The sequence below is a fragment of the Homo sapiens genome, chromosome 2 (genome assembly GCF_000001405.40).
Source record: "Homo sapiens chromosome 2, GRCh38.p14 Primary Assembly".
Lineage (NCBI taxonomy): Eukaryota > Metazoa > Chordata > Mammalia > Primates > Hominidae > Homo > Homo sapiens.
The window spans coordinates 2,273,570-2,288,763 of NC_000002.12; the positions used below are offsets into that span (position 1 = coordinate 2,273,570).

Here is a 15,194-nt window from a genome sequence, read left to right on the forward strand (position 1 = left end):
ACTCAGAGCATAGGGCAGTCAGGGCCTGTAGGCAGTGCCTGGACCTGCAGTGAGTGTCAGAGGCACCTGCCCCAGGGTAGGGGGGCTGTGACCAGGGCCACACATCTCAGAGTGGCTGCAGCAGCGGGAGGTACCCAGCTGTGAGGACTGCTGTGCTGCATGTCTGAGAGGTTACTAAGGAGGGAATTTGGGTTATAAGAAGGAAAAACACCAGAAAAGTCAATTGCTGTTTACATGTCCAAAGGTGAGGCAGTAATATAAAAGTGTTGCTTTTATCCGCCCACAAAAAAAATTATTGTGGGTGAAATTATAATTCACATTCTTCTTGGTATTTTTAAATATTTTGTCTCCATTATTAAAACACAAAAAATTGCTGTAAAGACCTTACAGAACACTAATGAAATACTTTTCAAATGAATATAGAGAACTGATACTCAATTATCCATATGACACATTTTTACAAAAAGAAACAAAAAGGAGAAAGGTAGGCACAAAGAAGGAAGGAAAGGCATCATAGAGAAATTATAATTAACAATAATTACTATATGTTTCAAAATAGCTAGAAAAGAAGAATTGTAATGTTCCCAACACAGAAATGATAAATATTTGAGGTGATGGTTATCCAATATCCTGATATGATCATTGCACATTGTGTACATGTATGAAAATATTATATATAACTCCAAAATATTTATGACTATTACACATCAATGGAAACTTTTAAAAAGAAAGGAAAGAAGGAAGGAAAAAAGGAAGGAAGGAAGGGAGGGAGGGAGGGTAGGAGAGAAGGGAAGGAGGGAGGGAGGGAGAGAGGACAGTGGGCAGGTGGGTTAATGCATTCAAAGCACTCAAATGTCATTGGAATTTACTTACAACATAAACTGAACTTTTTTCCTAAAACATTTAGGAGAATAAAGGGACATTCTTAATCACTCATAATATGTGAAGACTCTTAGCCTCTATTGCTAGTATTGGAAGATTTTGTTTCAGGAGATTTGGGCTTGTTTTTATCTAAAGCAATTTCTTGGACTAAGGGGAGTAGCCTGAGAAAGAAGGTATAGTGTACTTAAAACATATTTCTAAAATAAACAGTATTAGCTCCAGCTATACAGTTGCAATGAACTATGTTTCTAATAACATCACTTTGCACAGGAATCTTAATTGTAGACCTTGTAAAATGTCTCCTTATGCTCATAGTCTCAGAACACGTTTAAAGCATGCCACGGTAAGATGGAGGAGAAGTGGTGATGAAGGCCTCCCAGAGCATGGGCAGAGGCTGACTCAAGCCAGCCTATAACCTGGTCCAGGGCTCATTCCATAAGACCCCGAGAGCCTCCACTCGGAGAGCTGTGAGGCTCAGCAAACACGTATTGATCCCTATGTAGTGCTATGAGGGGGCTGGAACAAGGAAAGCAGATGGCCACACACTGAGACCAGGGCAGTGTTGCACCCAGAGCATGAGCAAGTGCGGTAGAGTCAGCGGGAGCCAGTGTGCTGGTTTGGGGTGGGGACCACAGCTGGAGAGTGCTGGTGGTTGGATGTCACCTTGGGCAGACACTGAGCCAGGTCTTGGAGGATAAATGGGTAGACATGTTTGTTTGGAAAGAAATTTCAAGAAAATATAATAATAAAATGTGTGTGTGTGTGTGTGTGTGTGTGTGTGTGTGTGTGTGTGTGCATGCCTGTTATAGCAGTCATGTGAAAACAAACTGCATGTGAGACTATCACATTGCTGGGGCCATTCTGGGCAGGACCTTCATCTAAAAGTATTGGTCGAACCTAAAATGATGAAGCTAATACCTTAAAATCTGTTCAGTGTTCTGTGGTTTCAGCACTAGGAGCTACTTCTGGTCATGGGATGTCAGAAATCAGCCTACCTATATATGACATGCTGAGCCCCAGTGCCCCCAGTTGGGCGATTTGGATGCTGTTGAATGAGAAGAACAAAACCAGGAGAGGGAAAGTGGTTTCCTAGAGGTCGTATCGCACCTAGTGTGAGCTCAGGCCAGTGTGCTGCATCCTGCCCTAAGTTGCCTCTTTAAAACACCAGCTCCTGCTCTGAGAGGTCTTCTCTACCTCGTCCATGGAATGTGAGCATCACTTACCTTTCATTTCAATATGTACCGTGAAAACTTTCCACATATACACTGAGCATGCTTCCTGTTGCTGCCAAGATACACTTCAATGAACTTTGCATGGGTTGATGTCTTCCCAGCCTCATGTCAGCCCATCTTTCCACCTTAACCTTCCACACATAACCAACCTATTCTTTCACACCTCCACGCCTTGTTCTTGTCCTCAAGAGAAAGTCCCAGCCAACCTCCTCTGCCTGGGAAAGGCCTATGTATTCTTCAGTGTCATTCCCAAATGAGATCGACCTCCACCTTGCCCCAGCGGGTTTCTCCTCTCTGCCTGACAAACTACCCTGCCTTGTGTTTGTTGCTTTATGGAGTTGTGTTTTTTTATTCATCTGTTGTGTTTCTTGGTGGAATGTGAGCATTCAGAGCTCTGTGCCTGGACCACCTGATACAGTGGTGTATGGGTAATAGGTCCTCAGGGACCCTGTGAAGTCAAACAATGTTACAGGCTTCCTTTCAAAGGAGTGAACCTTTTTGCTAGGTAAGGTCCGTACACTGCAGAGACTATGCTCTGAAAGCTGGGTGTACACCCTTGCGTGCCTGTGTGGTGCCTTGACACATTTCTCAGGGCCTGCCCCCTACACAGCCCTGAGCAGACCAGTCCTCGCTCAACCAGGACCATGACAGCTTGTTACGGGATATTGAAGTTTCTCGATTCTGCCTATCAGAATTATTTAACTCATTGGGATGTGGATCAGACAGTTCTTTAAAATGTTACAAATATGTCAGTTAATTAATAAAGTCCTTTTACAACCACACAAAGAAATGGTTTCAGGAATCCAAGGCTGGGGAACGGGGAGGGCTATAGGGAACCAGGAAGACTCCAGTTATTTGTTTGGGTTTGTTAGTTTCCACTTCACCTTGGTCCTCCTGACATCTTCCTACTCTGCAAGCGCTAAGGCTGGTTGTCACATGCAACGATGGTGTTAGCAACCAAGCCACCGAAAAGCAGCTTGGGAAGGCTGAATTCACATTACCATGCCTTCATTTTAGACTGAGGGACCCTTGAATCTCACCCTCTCTGCAGGTGCATACAAGACTGTCCTCTCCATTTCCCATTTGCCTGCTTTCTACTCCTCCTCATGATTCTCTCTTGCCTCCATATCAGATGCTGGAGCCTGTTACTCCACACCCCCCTGGAAGCCCTCATGGGCCTGTGCATCCAAAGGAACACTCCTGTCCCCAGAGCCCATGGTGCTTGACCACGGCACCACACATGTGCGATTTCTGTTTGCCTTTACTTCACCTGCTAACTTCCGATTGATTCTTTTTTTTTCTCTTTTTCTTTTTTTGAGACAGAGTCTCACTCTGTTGGCCAGGCTGGAGTGCAGTGGCGCAATCTTAGCTCACTGCAACCTCCACCTCCCTGGTTCACACCATTCTCCTGCCTCAGTCACTCAAGTAGCTGGGACCACAGGCACCCGCCACCACCCCCGGCTAATTTTTTTTGTATTTTTTTTAGTAGAGATGGGGTTTATGTTCTCTATCTCCTGACCTCGTGATCCATCTGCCTCGGCCTCCCAAAGTGCTGGGATTACAGGCGTGAGCCACCTTGCCTGGCCCCGATTGATTCTTAATTTTCCAAAATGCTCCATCTTTACTCATCTTTTCACCCTTCATACCCGATGGTGATTTGCACAAAGCATTTGCTCAAGGGTGACCTTGTGGAAAACCACTTCTGTTACCTCCCATCAAGTAATGGATGACAGGGTCCCACGGGTGGACAGATTGTCCCATACGGGAGGAAAGGGAACAGACTGCACACAGGTGCATCATGGCCAGAACAGAGGGAACAGTCAAAACCCACAGTTACATACATGCTCATGTTGCCACAGCCTTCACTGTGTTTATCAGTGAAAATGGATTCTTTAGAAAATAAAGTTGTCCAGAGTCCTGGGACTGGTTCTTTTCCTGTAATAGGGATGAGTTAGAATTGAAATAGTGTGGAAAAGAAATAATTACAGGATTAAGCAGCTATAAAGTTACTGCCCTTCAGGTGTTATGTAAAGGTAAACTACAAATGGTCATATAACAATTGTAATTATAGAAAAAAATGGGGTTGTATACCCTTTGCAACAGAATAAAAAAGAAAGAAAAAATACCCACGATACAGCCAGTGTTATGGCTAAGCTACCTAATCAATTAACATACCTTAATTTGAAGAAAAAAAACTATAGTATATTCCTAGCAAAATTTGAAACAATAATTTCTTTGAATATCTTTAGAAATCCATCCAATGTTACGAGTGACAGAAAAGTCAGTATTAAGTTATTTCTGCTTTTGGTTGCAAAATAGAAAAGGTAATTATTAATTCAGAAACACTTTTCATATACAAAATTAGACTTCTTTTCCTATATAACAACTGTTAATCTAAGAAATTTAAAGCGGAAAGTAAAAATAAAAGCTTTTACTTTTATGAGTTAATGGTAGTGGCCATATTTGTGCTGTGTACGAGGCACTAATGGGTGGCCTACATGTGTTGTGTATATGTAACGTGTGACACACAGCAACTCATGTGATCTCCACAATGATTCCAAGAGGTCCAGGCTACTATTATCCTCATTTTGCAGAAAATGAAACTGAGAGGCAGAGAGGAAAATTTACCCTCAGACTTTCAAACATAGAAAGCTGGATTTATTTCCTGCCAGTCTGGTTTAGGGATCCCTCCTCTGTCACTGTTATGCAACTTTGCATTTATTGTAACTTTTAAGTATGGAGAATTATAAAGAGACACAAAATTTTAAAGAGAACAGTATAATAAGTCCATATACCCATCAGTTACAAAAATGTGATTTGGCCACTGTCGCTTATCTAGACCTCCATTTGATAACCATTTCTATATTATTTTGAAGAACATTCCAGAAATCATATAATTTTGCCTACAAAAGTTTCAGTGTGCATATCTAACATATTAGAACTTTATTTTTAAACACAGGCAGGACACTATTAACATACTTAAGAAATCAACAGTAATTATGTAATATCATGTAGATGTTTTAAATAGTTGATGCTTTAAACTTCAGGGGTAAATTTAATGTATAAAGTTATATTTTTCCTGGCTATATTTTAACACCATGTATTTCTTCTTATGGGAAACAGTAGGACAGTGGTGAACTATGAAGGGATAAAGTGTCCCCTTGAGCCCAAGGCCACATCACCTAAAGGAAAGATGAACACAACACAGGAACTTACCAAGAACAAAAGGCCCCTCTCTTTCTCTTGTTCTAACTTCTTAACCACGCTTTCCCTTGCCCAGCTCTGGGAGGCACCTTCACTAGGGCTCTGCACTCCCCTCCCCACGAGCCTGTGTCTCTGAGATGCAGGAAGCACCTGGGAGGCCCTGGACCATCTCTGCTATTATCTTTCACCCCAAACTACTTAAGAGGATTCTTAAAATAAAAGGAGAGCTCTCCTCAATGGATCTTTGTTTTCAGATATTTACCATTTCTTAGTGTCTTAACAGTTGTGATGCTGTAAGGCCACTATGAAGTTCTGGGTACAGAGGACAAAACTCCCTTGGTTTTATGGTTTAAGATTGTATAGAGGCTAATAGTATCTACTTTTCCTATATTTCAAGGCTATGCCTGATTGTGATGATAGTTCAAAGTATGGAGGACAATAATGCCTTCTTACATATCAAAGAAGTATTATAATGATTAAGCCATTCAACATGGAAGAGGAAGAAGGAGAAGAAGAAGAGGAGAAGGAGGAAGAGGGAAAGGTGGAGGAGGGAAGGGAAGGGGAGGGGAGGGAAAAAGAGAGGTGGAGTCCAGGAGGAAGGAAGAAAACAATGGAGTAAGAAGAGAGAAAGAGGGAGGGAAGGAGGAAGGAGAGAGAGAAAGAGAGAAGGAATGAATGAATGAAGGAAGGAAGGAAGGAAGGAAGGAAGGAAGGAAGGAAGGAATCAAGATTATCCCTCAAATGTCAACCAACACCTGTTCCATGCCCAGGTTGCTTTTCCCTATCAGTTCAGCTTTTTACCTTCAAGTTTGTTGGCCAGGTAGTTTCGGGTTGAGCGACAGCCTTCAAGGTATTTCCATTTTGCCATTCTATGTTCATAAGGGTTTTTAATGTATACCCTCAAGCGGGCAACACTGCACACTGGGATTTTCTTTCACTAGCTTCTTCTAATCAAAGAATGTAAACTAGGAAAGGTAGGAAGCTGTTGTTAGCAGACAGCACTTACGTGATTTATCTATTTAAGAAGCAGGACAAGTACATGGCATAAAGTCAAGGATGGGGTAAGAGGTAAATGAAACAAAAGCTTTGATGTAGAAAAATTATGTGGAATTTCAAATAGATGGATATAAGAAGTAGTAAAAACATGTATCAGAAAAGGAGGAAATAAAGAAATAAACTATAAGTGTCATCAGAAAACATTAAAGTAAAAATTAAGAAAATTTGTATGAGCAAGAAAATTCATTTGTGGACTAAAGTAGAAAGTGTTAGATTTTCTGAGAAGTTTTTCTTCCCATAAGGAGGATTTCAAGCATATACTATTCCTGCTTATATGATGTCAAATTAGGTCATTTTAATGAATTCACCACAAAACACTAGTTAGGCATTGCATACATACCCTGGTTGTATGGTTCACAGCTTTACGTATTGTTGATTTGTTGCCATTGCTTTAGTTTCTTGCATATCAAAGTTGCCTTGGTAATAGGCATTATCTCCAGGACAACCAAGTGAACCAACTCCAAGAAACTATTTGGAGTGAAAAATTTGGAAGAGTAAAGGTGTTCACCTGCCCATTCCATATAAGACAGAAATCAGGAGCTGAGACTATGGGGTGCCTTTTAAACCGAACTAAACTTCTTCTATCCGCCCTTGTGCACATTACATAACGCTCTGCCTCAGGTCTCTCCTGCTGAGAATGGGGATGATAATGTTTCCTTCCCTAGTGTTATTTTAAGGAGGAAGTCAGGTAACACACATCAACTTCGTAGGACACGGCTGCAGTGCAGCAGTCTGTGCAGGGTGGCCACGCGCGTGCAGCATTGCAGCAGGGTCAGACCCCATCAGGAGGTGGAGAGGAAGCTTCAACCAAACAAACCATAACCTGAGAGGCATCCAGAGCTCTGTGATTTAAAACCCAGAACACCAAGCACAAAATTTCATCCTAAAATATTGTGGTTTAAGTCTCCTCAAAGATTTCTAATTCCTTCATTTAACTGATGAAGTGACTGAGGCTTAGAGAAGGCTGGTGGCTTGCCTCGGTGCGGCCATAGGGGACACACTAGGTTTTCCAGCTTTTGATGAGGGTTTGTTTTATACCAAATGTACACAACCGTGGTGATATGGTTTGGCTGTGTCCCCACCCAAATCTCATCTTGAATTGTAGTTCCCATAATCCCCACATGTTGTGGGATGGACCTGGTGGGAGGTAATTGAATCATGGGGGTGGTTACCCCACACCGTTCTCATGTTAGTAAGTAAATTCTCATGAGATCAGATGGCTTTATCAGGGGCTTTCCCTGCTTTGCTCAGCACTTCTCCTTCCTGTGAAGAAGATGCCTTTCTTCAGCTTTGCCTTCTGCCGTGATTGCAAGTTTCCTGAGACCTCCCAAGCCATGCAGAACTGTGAGTCAATTAAACCTCTTTTCTTTATAAATCATCGGGTATTTCTTCATGGCAGTGTGAGAATGAACTAGTACACGTGGCATGACTTTTCATGTCATAACTAGTAATAGTGTGGGGCAAATGACTTTTGTTTTCTTTTTAATATAATTGTTGTGTAATATGTACAGAAGTGGGAAGAGTAAATGCTTGTGTCTTCCTGATTGATTGTAAAATTCTTCCCAACTAGCTCATGTAAGTGGTCAACAACTGAGGCCAAAATGTGTTGCTTTATAGAGATTTAGCAGACTTATATTAATGATCCAATTACCTTGAATGGCGTGAACTTAACTTGTGTATTTAGAAAAACAATAATCAAATATTGAAAATACTGTCATATGAAATAGAAATTAGCCCATAGAACCTAGAACATGTTCTGAACATAGTAGATCATTAAAATACATCCATTAAGTTGAATTGAATTAGACATAGTCTGTATCTCTCCAGAGGCTGAAAGTAAAAACAACAGGTGCCTATTATAAAACTGAATAATATGCAAACCCTTGACACAATCCAACAATGGAATGAGTTGCCTTGTTGAGTTGTAAGCTATCTGTTCCTGGAAATATTCAAGAAGCAATAAAAAGGCTACTTTTTAGCGGTAGGTGGCATGGGGGCAGAAATGTTTCTGTAGTGCACTCTGGCGTTTAGTATAACGAACACAATCCTAGCTTTCTTTAATGGTAGTGGATCTCGAAATTCTCAGAGTTACACATCAGAAACAATAATGGTCGCTATATTAAATTGCTCATACTGAGATCTTATTTTTAAAGTAAATGTATTGTAATGCTTTTCATACCATGTATCAGAGACTCAATATAAGCGTGGATTCTGCAACTAAAAGGTGGACTTCTCAAAATCTGGATCATGTTCTATCATTTACATATCACCACTGCCTCACACAGTGTATTGCACGTAGTAGGCACTTCATACATTGATTTAATATATGAACAAAAGAACAGAAGTGTCAGCTTTTTAACTGAGTTTATGAAAATTTAGAAGATATTTTGAAATACATTTTTAGCCTTTACAAAACTAAATTTGTGCTATGAGATTAGTTTTTTCTTAAGGTTGAATTTATGAATTTATGACACTGCTATGTGTAATGGCAGACCGTTCAAACACTGGATGGTTAGCTGTGTTTTCAATAGCAGAGAACATGCAGTGATAGGACCACACATAAAATGAAGCAGGATTGTAAAGATAATGCCCTTCTCAAAAGCTTCAAAATGTATATAGTCTTGAGTCAAGCAATTCTACTGTGAATTTATCTTAAGAAAATCATTAACAGTGTGAAAGGTTTTAGGTAAAGAATGGTTATTAAAACCATGTTTATAAGGCAAAATTTTAAAAATCCAACTTATGAAATTACAATAGAGAATTGATGAAGTATATTTCAGTGTATTCATAAAGTAGAATGCTAGATGAGGTAACGGAATAAAATAAGGTAACAGAAAAGTAGTTCTTCAGGCTGGGCACAGTGGTTCACACCTGTAATCCCAGCACTTTGGGAAACCGAGGTGGGCAGACCACTTGAGGTCAGGAGTTGGAGACCAGCCTGGCCAACATGGTGAAACCCCGTCTTTACTAAAAATAGAAAAATTAGCCAGGTGTGGTGGCATGTGCCAGTAACCCTAGCCACTTGGGAGGCTGAGGCAGGAGAATACCTTGAACCCCGGAGGGAGAGGTTACGGTGAGCCAAGATTGTGCCACTGCACTCCAGCCTGGGTGACAGAGCCAGACTCCATCCCCCCCAACACAAAAAGTAGTTCTTCATACAGAAAGATACATACGATGCATAAGGGAAAAAGGAGTAAAGAACAAACGGCACAGTTTGACCCATGTTAATTTAAAATCTTTTTGAAGACTGTCAAAGAAATCAGTCTTGAAGAATTTTAAACCAACATACTAATGGTGGTTGTCACTGAATTTTTGAATTTCCAGTGCTTTAAAAATTATATTATCTATTATTTTAATATTCTAATGTTTCTACAATGGACATACACTAATTATGTAAAGAAAATAGAAGTTTAAAAACTTGGTCTCTCTGGCAGTTTGACGTTAATGCAAAGAACGACATTGAGAGGATAAGTTTCTAAAGATATTGACACCAAAAGTAAGAGAGTACAGAGATGATGCCTTGAAAAGTATAATTTTTGAACCATTAAAAATTAGTTGTGTAGCAAATAGAGGACATTGGGTCCAACAGATTGGTTTATTTCTCAGTCTTGCTGGAAATTAAATTTGTAGCACTTCTCAATTCCACCCACTCATAATTGGAAGAGAAAGTGAAGGCCACAGAAGCTGAGAGTCTGCTTCAAAGTCCCCAGGCAGTAAGGGCTGCTCAGACCTCAAACCTACACGTGGTCAGGCAATGCTACTCTTTCATGCAGCTGAAAATTTACACAGTTATGTCCAAGACAGATTTCAAAAGGGATACAAATGATTCCCAAGGATGTGCGTCTATGGAAAAAGGAAACTACAGCCTCAAAATGGGGCTCTGATTGGAAGTAAGCTCTGAAGTCCGTGCACCTCTGGCTACCTGTCCGACCTCCCTCTGCCTCAGTTTCCTCATGTCTAAAAGGGATGGTGGCAACTTTCTTACAGGGTACTCAAGGGCTTCAAGAGAGCCAGCCATGTCTGCAATGTGGCCTCACCCAAAGCAGGCACTCAGGCTAAAGTGAAGGAGTAGGAGTGGGAGGAGTTTGAAATTCAGAAAACACCACGTAAGTATAACAAGAAGAATTAGGAAATTAAACATAACTATATGTTTTTGGATCAAGTTCTCTGCTTGGTTCAGTTCATTTATGAAATATTTAGATTATAGGTGATGCTTTCATCAGTATAAAGATATAAGAAAAAGTCATAGTTGATGTATGAATTTAACATGTATATGTAATTGACTAGACAAGGCATACAACTGAAGCACGTAAGCATTAAAAACAGCAAGAAATAACTGGTACAAAAGAACCCAGTTGCCCGAATTCTAAATCAGTCATTGCCTTGTGAGTTCTGCTTGTTTTCAGGTACCTCCTTTACATTCCTAATACAACGGTAAGGTCCCATTGCAATTCACATACCACACGCTGTGATCCCTCAAATGTCAACGTGGATTGGACAAACGTCCAGGCAACAGCCGCACACACCTCGTCCTTGGCTACAGCCTCCTCATGACCCGCCCTGCATGTAAGAGAAGAGGAAGAAATGGTTAATGGAACTGGGACTCTTTTCTCTTGAGTTAATGGGAATGGATAGTTTCCCTGCATCTTGAGCTATTCTCATTAAAGTATTGAAGGCCCTACGCACACACAGCCACACTTGCTGAAATTTATCTAAGGAGGGGTCTTGGAGTTAGACACTCCTACTGTGTCTCCTCAAAATTGTAATTTTTTGTTTTTTTTGAGACAGAGTCTTGCTCTGTCACCAGGCTGGAGTGCAGTGGCGGGATCTTGGCTCACTGGAGCCTGTCTCCTGGGTTCAAGCGATTCTCCTGCCTCAGCCTCCCAAGTAGCTGGCACTACAGGCATGCACCACCATGCCCAGCTGATTTTTTATATTTTAGTAGAGATGGGGTTTCATCATGTGCTATGTTGGCCAGGGGTCAGGGTGGTCTTGATCTCCTGACCTCGGGATCCGCCCACCTTAGCCTCCCAAAGTGCTGGGATTACAGGTGTGAGCCACTGCGCCTGGCCAAAGTTGTACTTCTTTTAAAATAAAAGTCTGTGCTTTAATAAAAATGAAAGAACAAGGTCAGTTGTGTGAAACTTGAGAGAGTCCCTAGGTCTCCGTCCTCCCTACAAAGTCTTCTAACCCGGGGAGATGAGCTGGAGGTGAGCTCCATGCCCAAAAGGCTGCTTGTCAGGCAGTGATTGCAGTTGCAAGAGAAGGTTCTGGACTTGGGGAGTGCATCGTGAATTGCATTATGGCAATGTATGCAGGTTCAATAGGGACCTCAAACGCAGCTTGCCTATCTAAGGCCATATCAGGACAAATGCCACAATGAAAAATAAGAGGTGTTTAAAAAACAGAAGTAAAGAAACATGCACAGACCAGGAAGTTTCCCATATTTCCTATTTCCTAGGTTCACTTGGAAAACTAGGGTGGTGGAAGAAAAGGACAATAATTCCTTTGGAAAATTAATTCAACTTTTTCTACCCACTAACCATATTCGTTCCAATTTTAGCAGTTCTGTGGGAGGAAAAATGAAACATGAAATTCTTCTATGCTTTCAACTTTGCATATCTCTTTACCTCTACCTGGAATGCCCTCCCCTTTCTGGGTCTTCCCAATTCTGCCTAGAAGCCACACTTTCTATTTTGTGACATGTTCCTGGTGACAGAGGAGCAGGGATCTTCATGGTAAGAGCAGCACACATGTCAACTGCTCCCATTTCCGAGTATCCAGCTGAGAAGCTACACGTTAGGTCAGACACTGCAGGTTCAGTATCTCTCTTAATCCTCAAAGTCGGCATCATTATTTCCCTGTACATTGGCTCAAGATGCTGCCTAACCCCTGGAGACAGAGCTAGAGCATGCCTAGCAGGGGTTCAAAACCAGCTCTTCCCAACTCGAGGGTGCTTTCTGCTGCTGCAGGCTAGCCTCCAGTTTCTCAGACCCTCCAAACAATCCTCCAATTCTTTGTTCTTCACTCTTCTTCTTCTTCTTCCTTTTTTTTTGTGAGATGGACTGTCACTCTGTCACCCAGGCTGGAGTGCAGTGGCGTGATCTCAGCTCACTGCAACCTCTGCCTTCCAGGTTCAAGTGATACTCCTGCCTCAGCCTTGTGAGTAGCTAGGAATACTGGCGTGTGCCACCACCCCCGGCTAATTTTTGTATTTTTAGTAGAGACGGGGTTTCACCATGTTGGTCAGGCTGGTCTTGAACTCCTGACCTCGTGATCCACCGACCTCAGCCTCCCAATGTGCTGGGATTACAGGCATGGGATTACCACACCCGGCCTGTTCTTCATTCTTCTAAAAGGAAGCATTGAGCATTTGTGACATGCTTTGGCTCACACACAGAAACTTTCTCTTTTGCAGATAGAATTGATGACTCTTCCAGGACAATGTCATTCATTACTAAAATGTGGAGGGCATCTTAGATCATTTAAAATCAAATGAAATATATGTACACTTTTAAAAGAAGTAATGCAGATATCAAGTTTCGAATGATTTCTAACAAATTGAAAAAAAGAAAACATAGAACCCATTAGTAAACTTTTATGAGAATGTCTGGTCTTCGGATTTTACTTTACAACTGAAAAGGATAATAAATTTAGTTTCTACTCGGGTTAAAGTGTACTTGCCTATTGCGAGTCAATAATAAATGGTCTAATGGGTTTAAGTGGCCTCACATGGTTTGCTACACTTGGACACAGCAGGAGAGATCATCTGTGGTCAAGGGTGCCAGCAACACATCTACCTAAAGCACCAGGCATTGGCTTTGGAGAACTATGCCAGGACACAGCAGGCTTCCCTCCCCACCCACCTGCACTTGAAAGGCCACCTGCAGAAGGCGGGAAGGGTGCGCGAAATCACGAAGGCAGGGAGTGGAAGAGACTTAGTGTCAAAGCGATGTCACTAGGTTCTATTTCCCATTCTGTTATCATCACCTGAGAGAGGGAGACACAGATACACACAGACACACACACAGACAAACACACACACAGATTTCATCTAAAATTGCCATTGCTTTGAGGCCAAGGCAGGCGGATCACCTGAGGTCGGGAGTTCGAGACCAGTCTGACCAACATGGAGAAACCCGGTCTCTACTAAAAATAGAAAATTAGCCAGGCGTGGTGGTGCATGCCTGTAATACCAGCTACTCTGGAGGCTGAGGCAGGAGAATAGCTTGAACCTGGGAGGCAGAGGTTGCGTGAGCAGAGGTCGTGCCTTTGCACTCCAACCTGGGCAACAAGAGCGAAACTCCGTCTGAAAAAAAAAAGTATTTGAATCCTTTTTAAAAATTCAGATAATCCTCAAGGAGCTTACAAGACTTTAGGTATTAAATTTTTAAGTGTTGAAAAAAATTGACTAGACGAAGTTATTTAATGTCAGGACCATTATCTTTCAAACATTTTGTTAAGCATCGCCAGCATCCTGGTGCAAAATTCTGGACGTAAGACCTGTTCAAATACTCAAAAGTAAGTGATTTACAGAAAATCAGCTAGCATGAGTCAGTCCCAGTCTTTTTTAAAAAATAGATTGTTGAAAAAAATATAAATACTGTATTTACTGAAGATGGGAAAGTGGCAATTTCAGGAGCACAGAGTGACTTTCTCATTTGCAAAATGAGGATAATGGATTAGATCATCTTTAAGACTCTCCTTTTGACCTCTGAAATCCAGCTTTATTTCTCAGTAAGAGCTTGGTCTTTTAAATTCATATGGATATTCTAGTTAATTAATAGTTATTTCATATAGTCTTTTAAACAAAGTTGTAGTTATTTCTGTGTGGATATCACCACGTTTTAGGCAGAAGAGAAGCACTTGCCTTGCCATGGAAATTGTAATAGCAATGAAACTCAAACTCTATTAAGCCCGACCAACTCTACAGCTCAGTTTGAAATTTGGAATTTAACCTACTGGAGATTTAAGTAGAGTAATAGCTAAACACAAGGCCTTACATTAAGAACTCTCTGGTGGGGTACACACATCATTCTAGAATATTTACTCACCCCCTTTTTTGGCTTCTTCAGACAGACATCAGATTTATCCCTAGATAGATCATCTGGTCTCATTTCCTGACACACTCTAGTTCATTTCTAGAGACAGGGAAGATATATTTATAATGACCTAAAAGTAGGGACTATGTGCCAAGTACTGAATAGGAATTGTCATTTAATCCTCACGACCAGGTAGATACAGGACAACATCAGTTTTACAGATCACAGAAATGAGGCCCTGGGAAGATACATCACTGGCCTAACGTCACTTAGTTTGTCAATAGTAGAGTTGGATTTGAACCCTGATCATCTAATTTCTCAGCAAGCGCTCTTAAATACCACACTCAAACCTCAATGCAATTAAAAGGAACTTTAAAAAAATTAGATCATCATATGCCTAGACAGAGCAAAGTATTGAGAAGAGCTGAGCAAAGTGTTTCTCATTATCTGGGTCCTCCACATCCATTCAAAGAGCAGGGCGTGCACCAGCCTCATGTGCAGTTTACCTGGAAATGTGCCGTAAAGGTAAAATACACAAAAGATTTGGTCACAGCATGAAAACAATGTAAAATATCTCATTGATCATTATGTATTGATTGCTTGTTGATATTATCATATTTAGGTTAGATAGCTATATTATTAAAATTAATTCCATCTGGTTCTTTTAATTATGTTTAACATTTACTGGAAAATGTAATATCACATATGTAATTCTTCCACTTGCATTATATTTATATTAGACAGTGCTGATCTAGAGTATCAGTTATCAGGTTAATTT

The 15,194-nt window shown here is 41.1% G+C and overlaps 1 protein-coding gene across 31 annotated transcripts in view; it reads right to left on the minus strand.

Annotated features, from left to right (window-relative positions):
• Positions 1-15,194, minus strand: part of MYT1L (myelin transcription factor 1 like) — a 542,163-nt gene that overhangs the window by 484,457 nt on the left and 42,512 nt on the right. For all 31 annotated transcript variants that reach the window (NM_015025.4, NM_001303052.2, XM_011510326.2 and 28 more), the window contains one exon: positions 10,835-10,934. The gene's annotated coding sequence lies outside the window, so the exon portion shown is untranslated. The remainder of the gene's footprint in view (positions 1-10,834; positions 10,935-15,194) is intronic.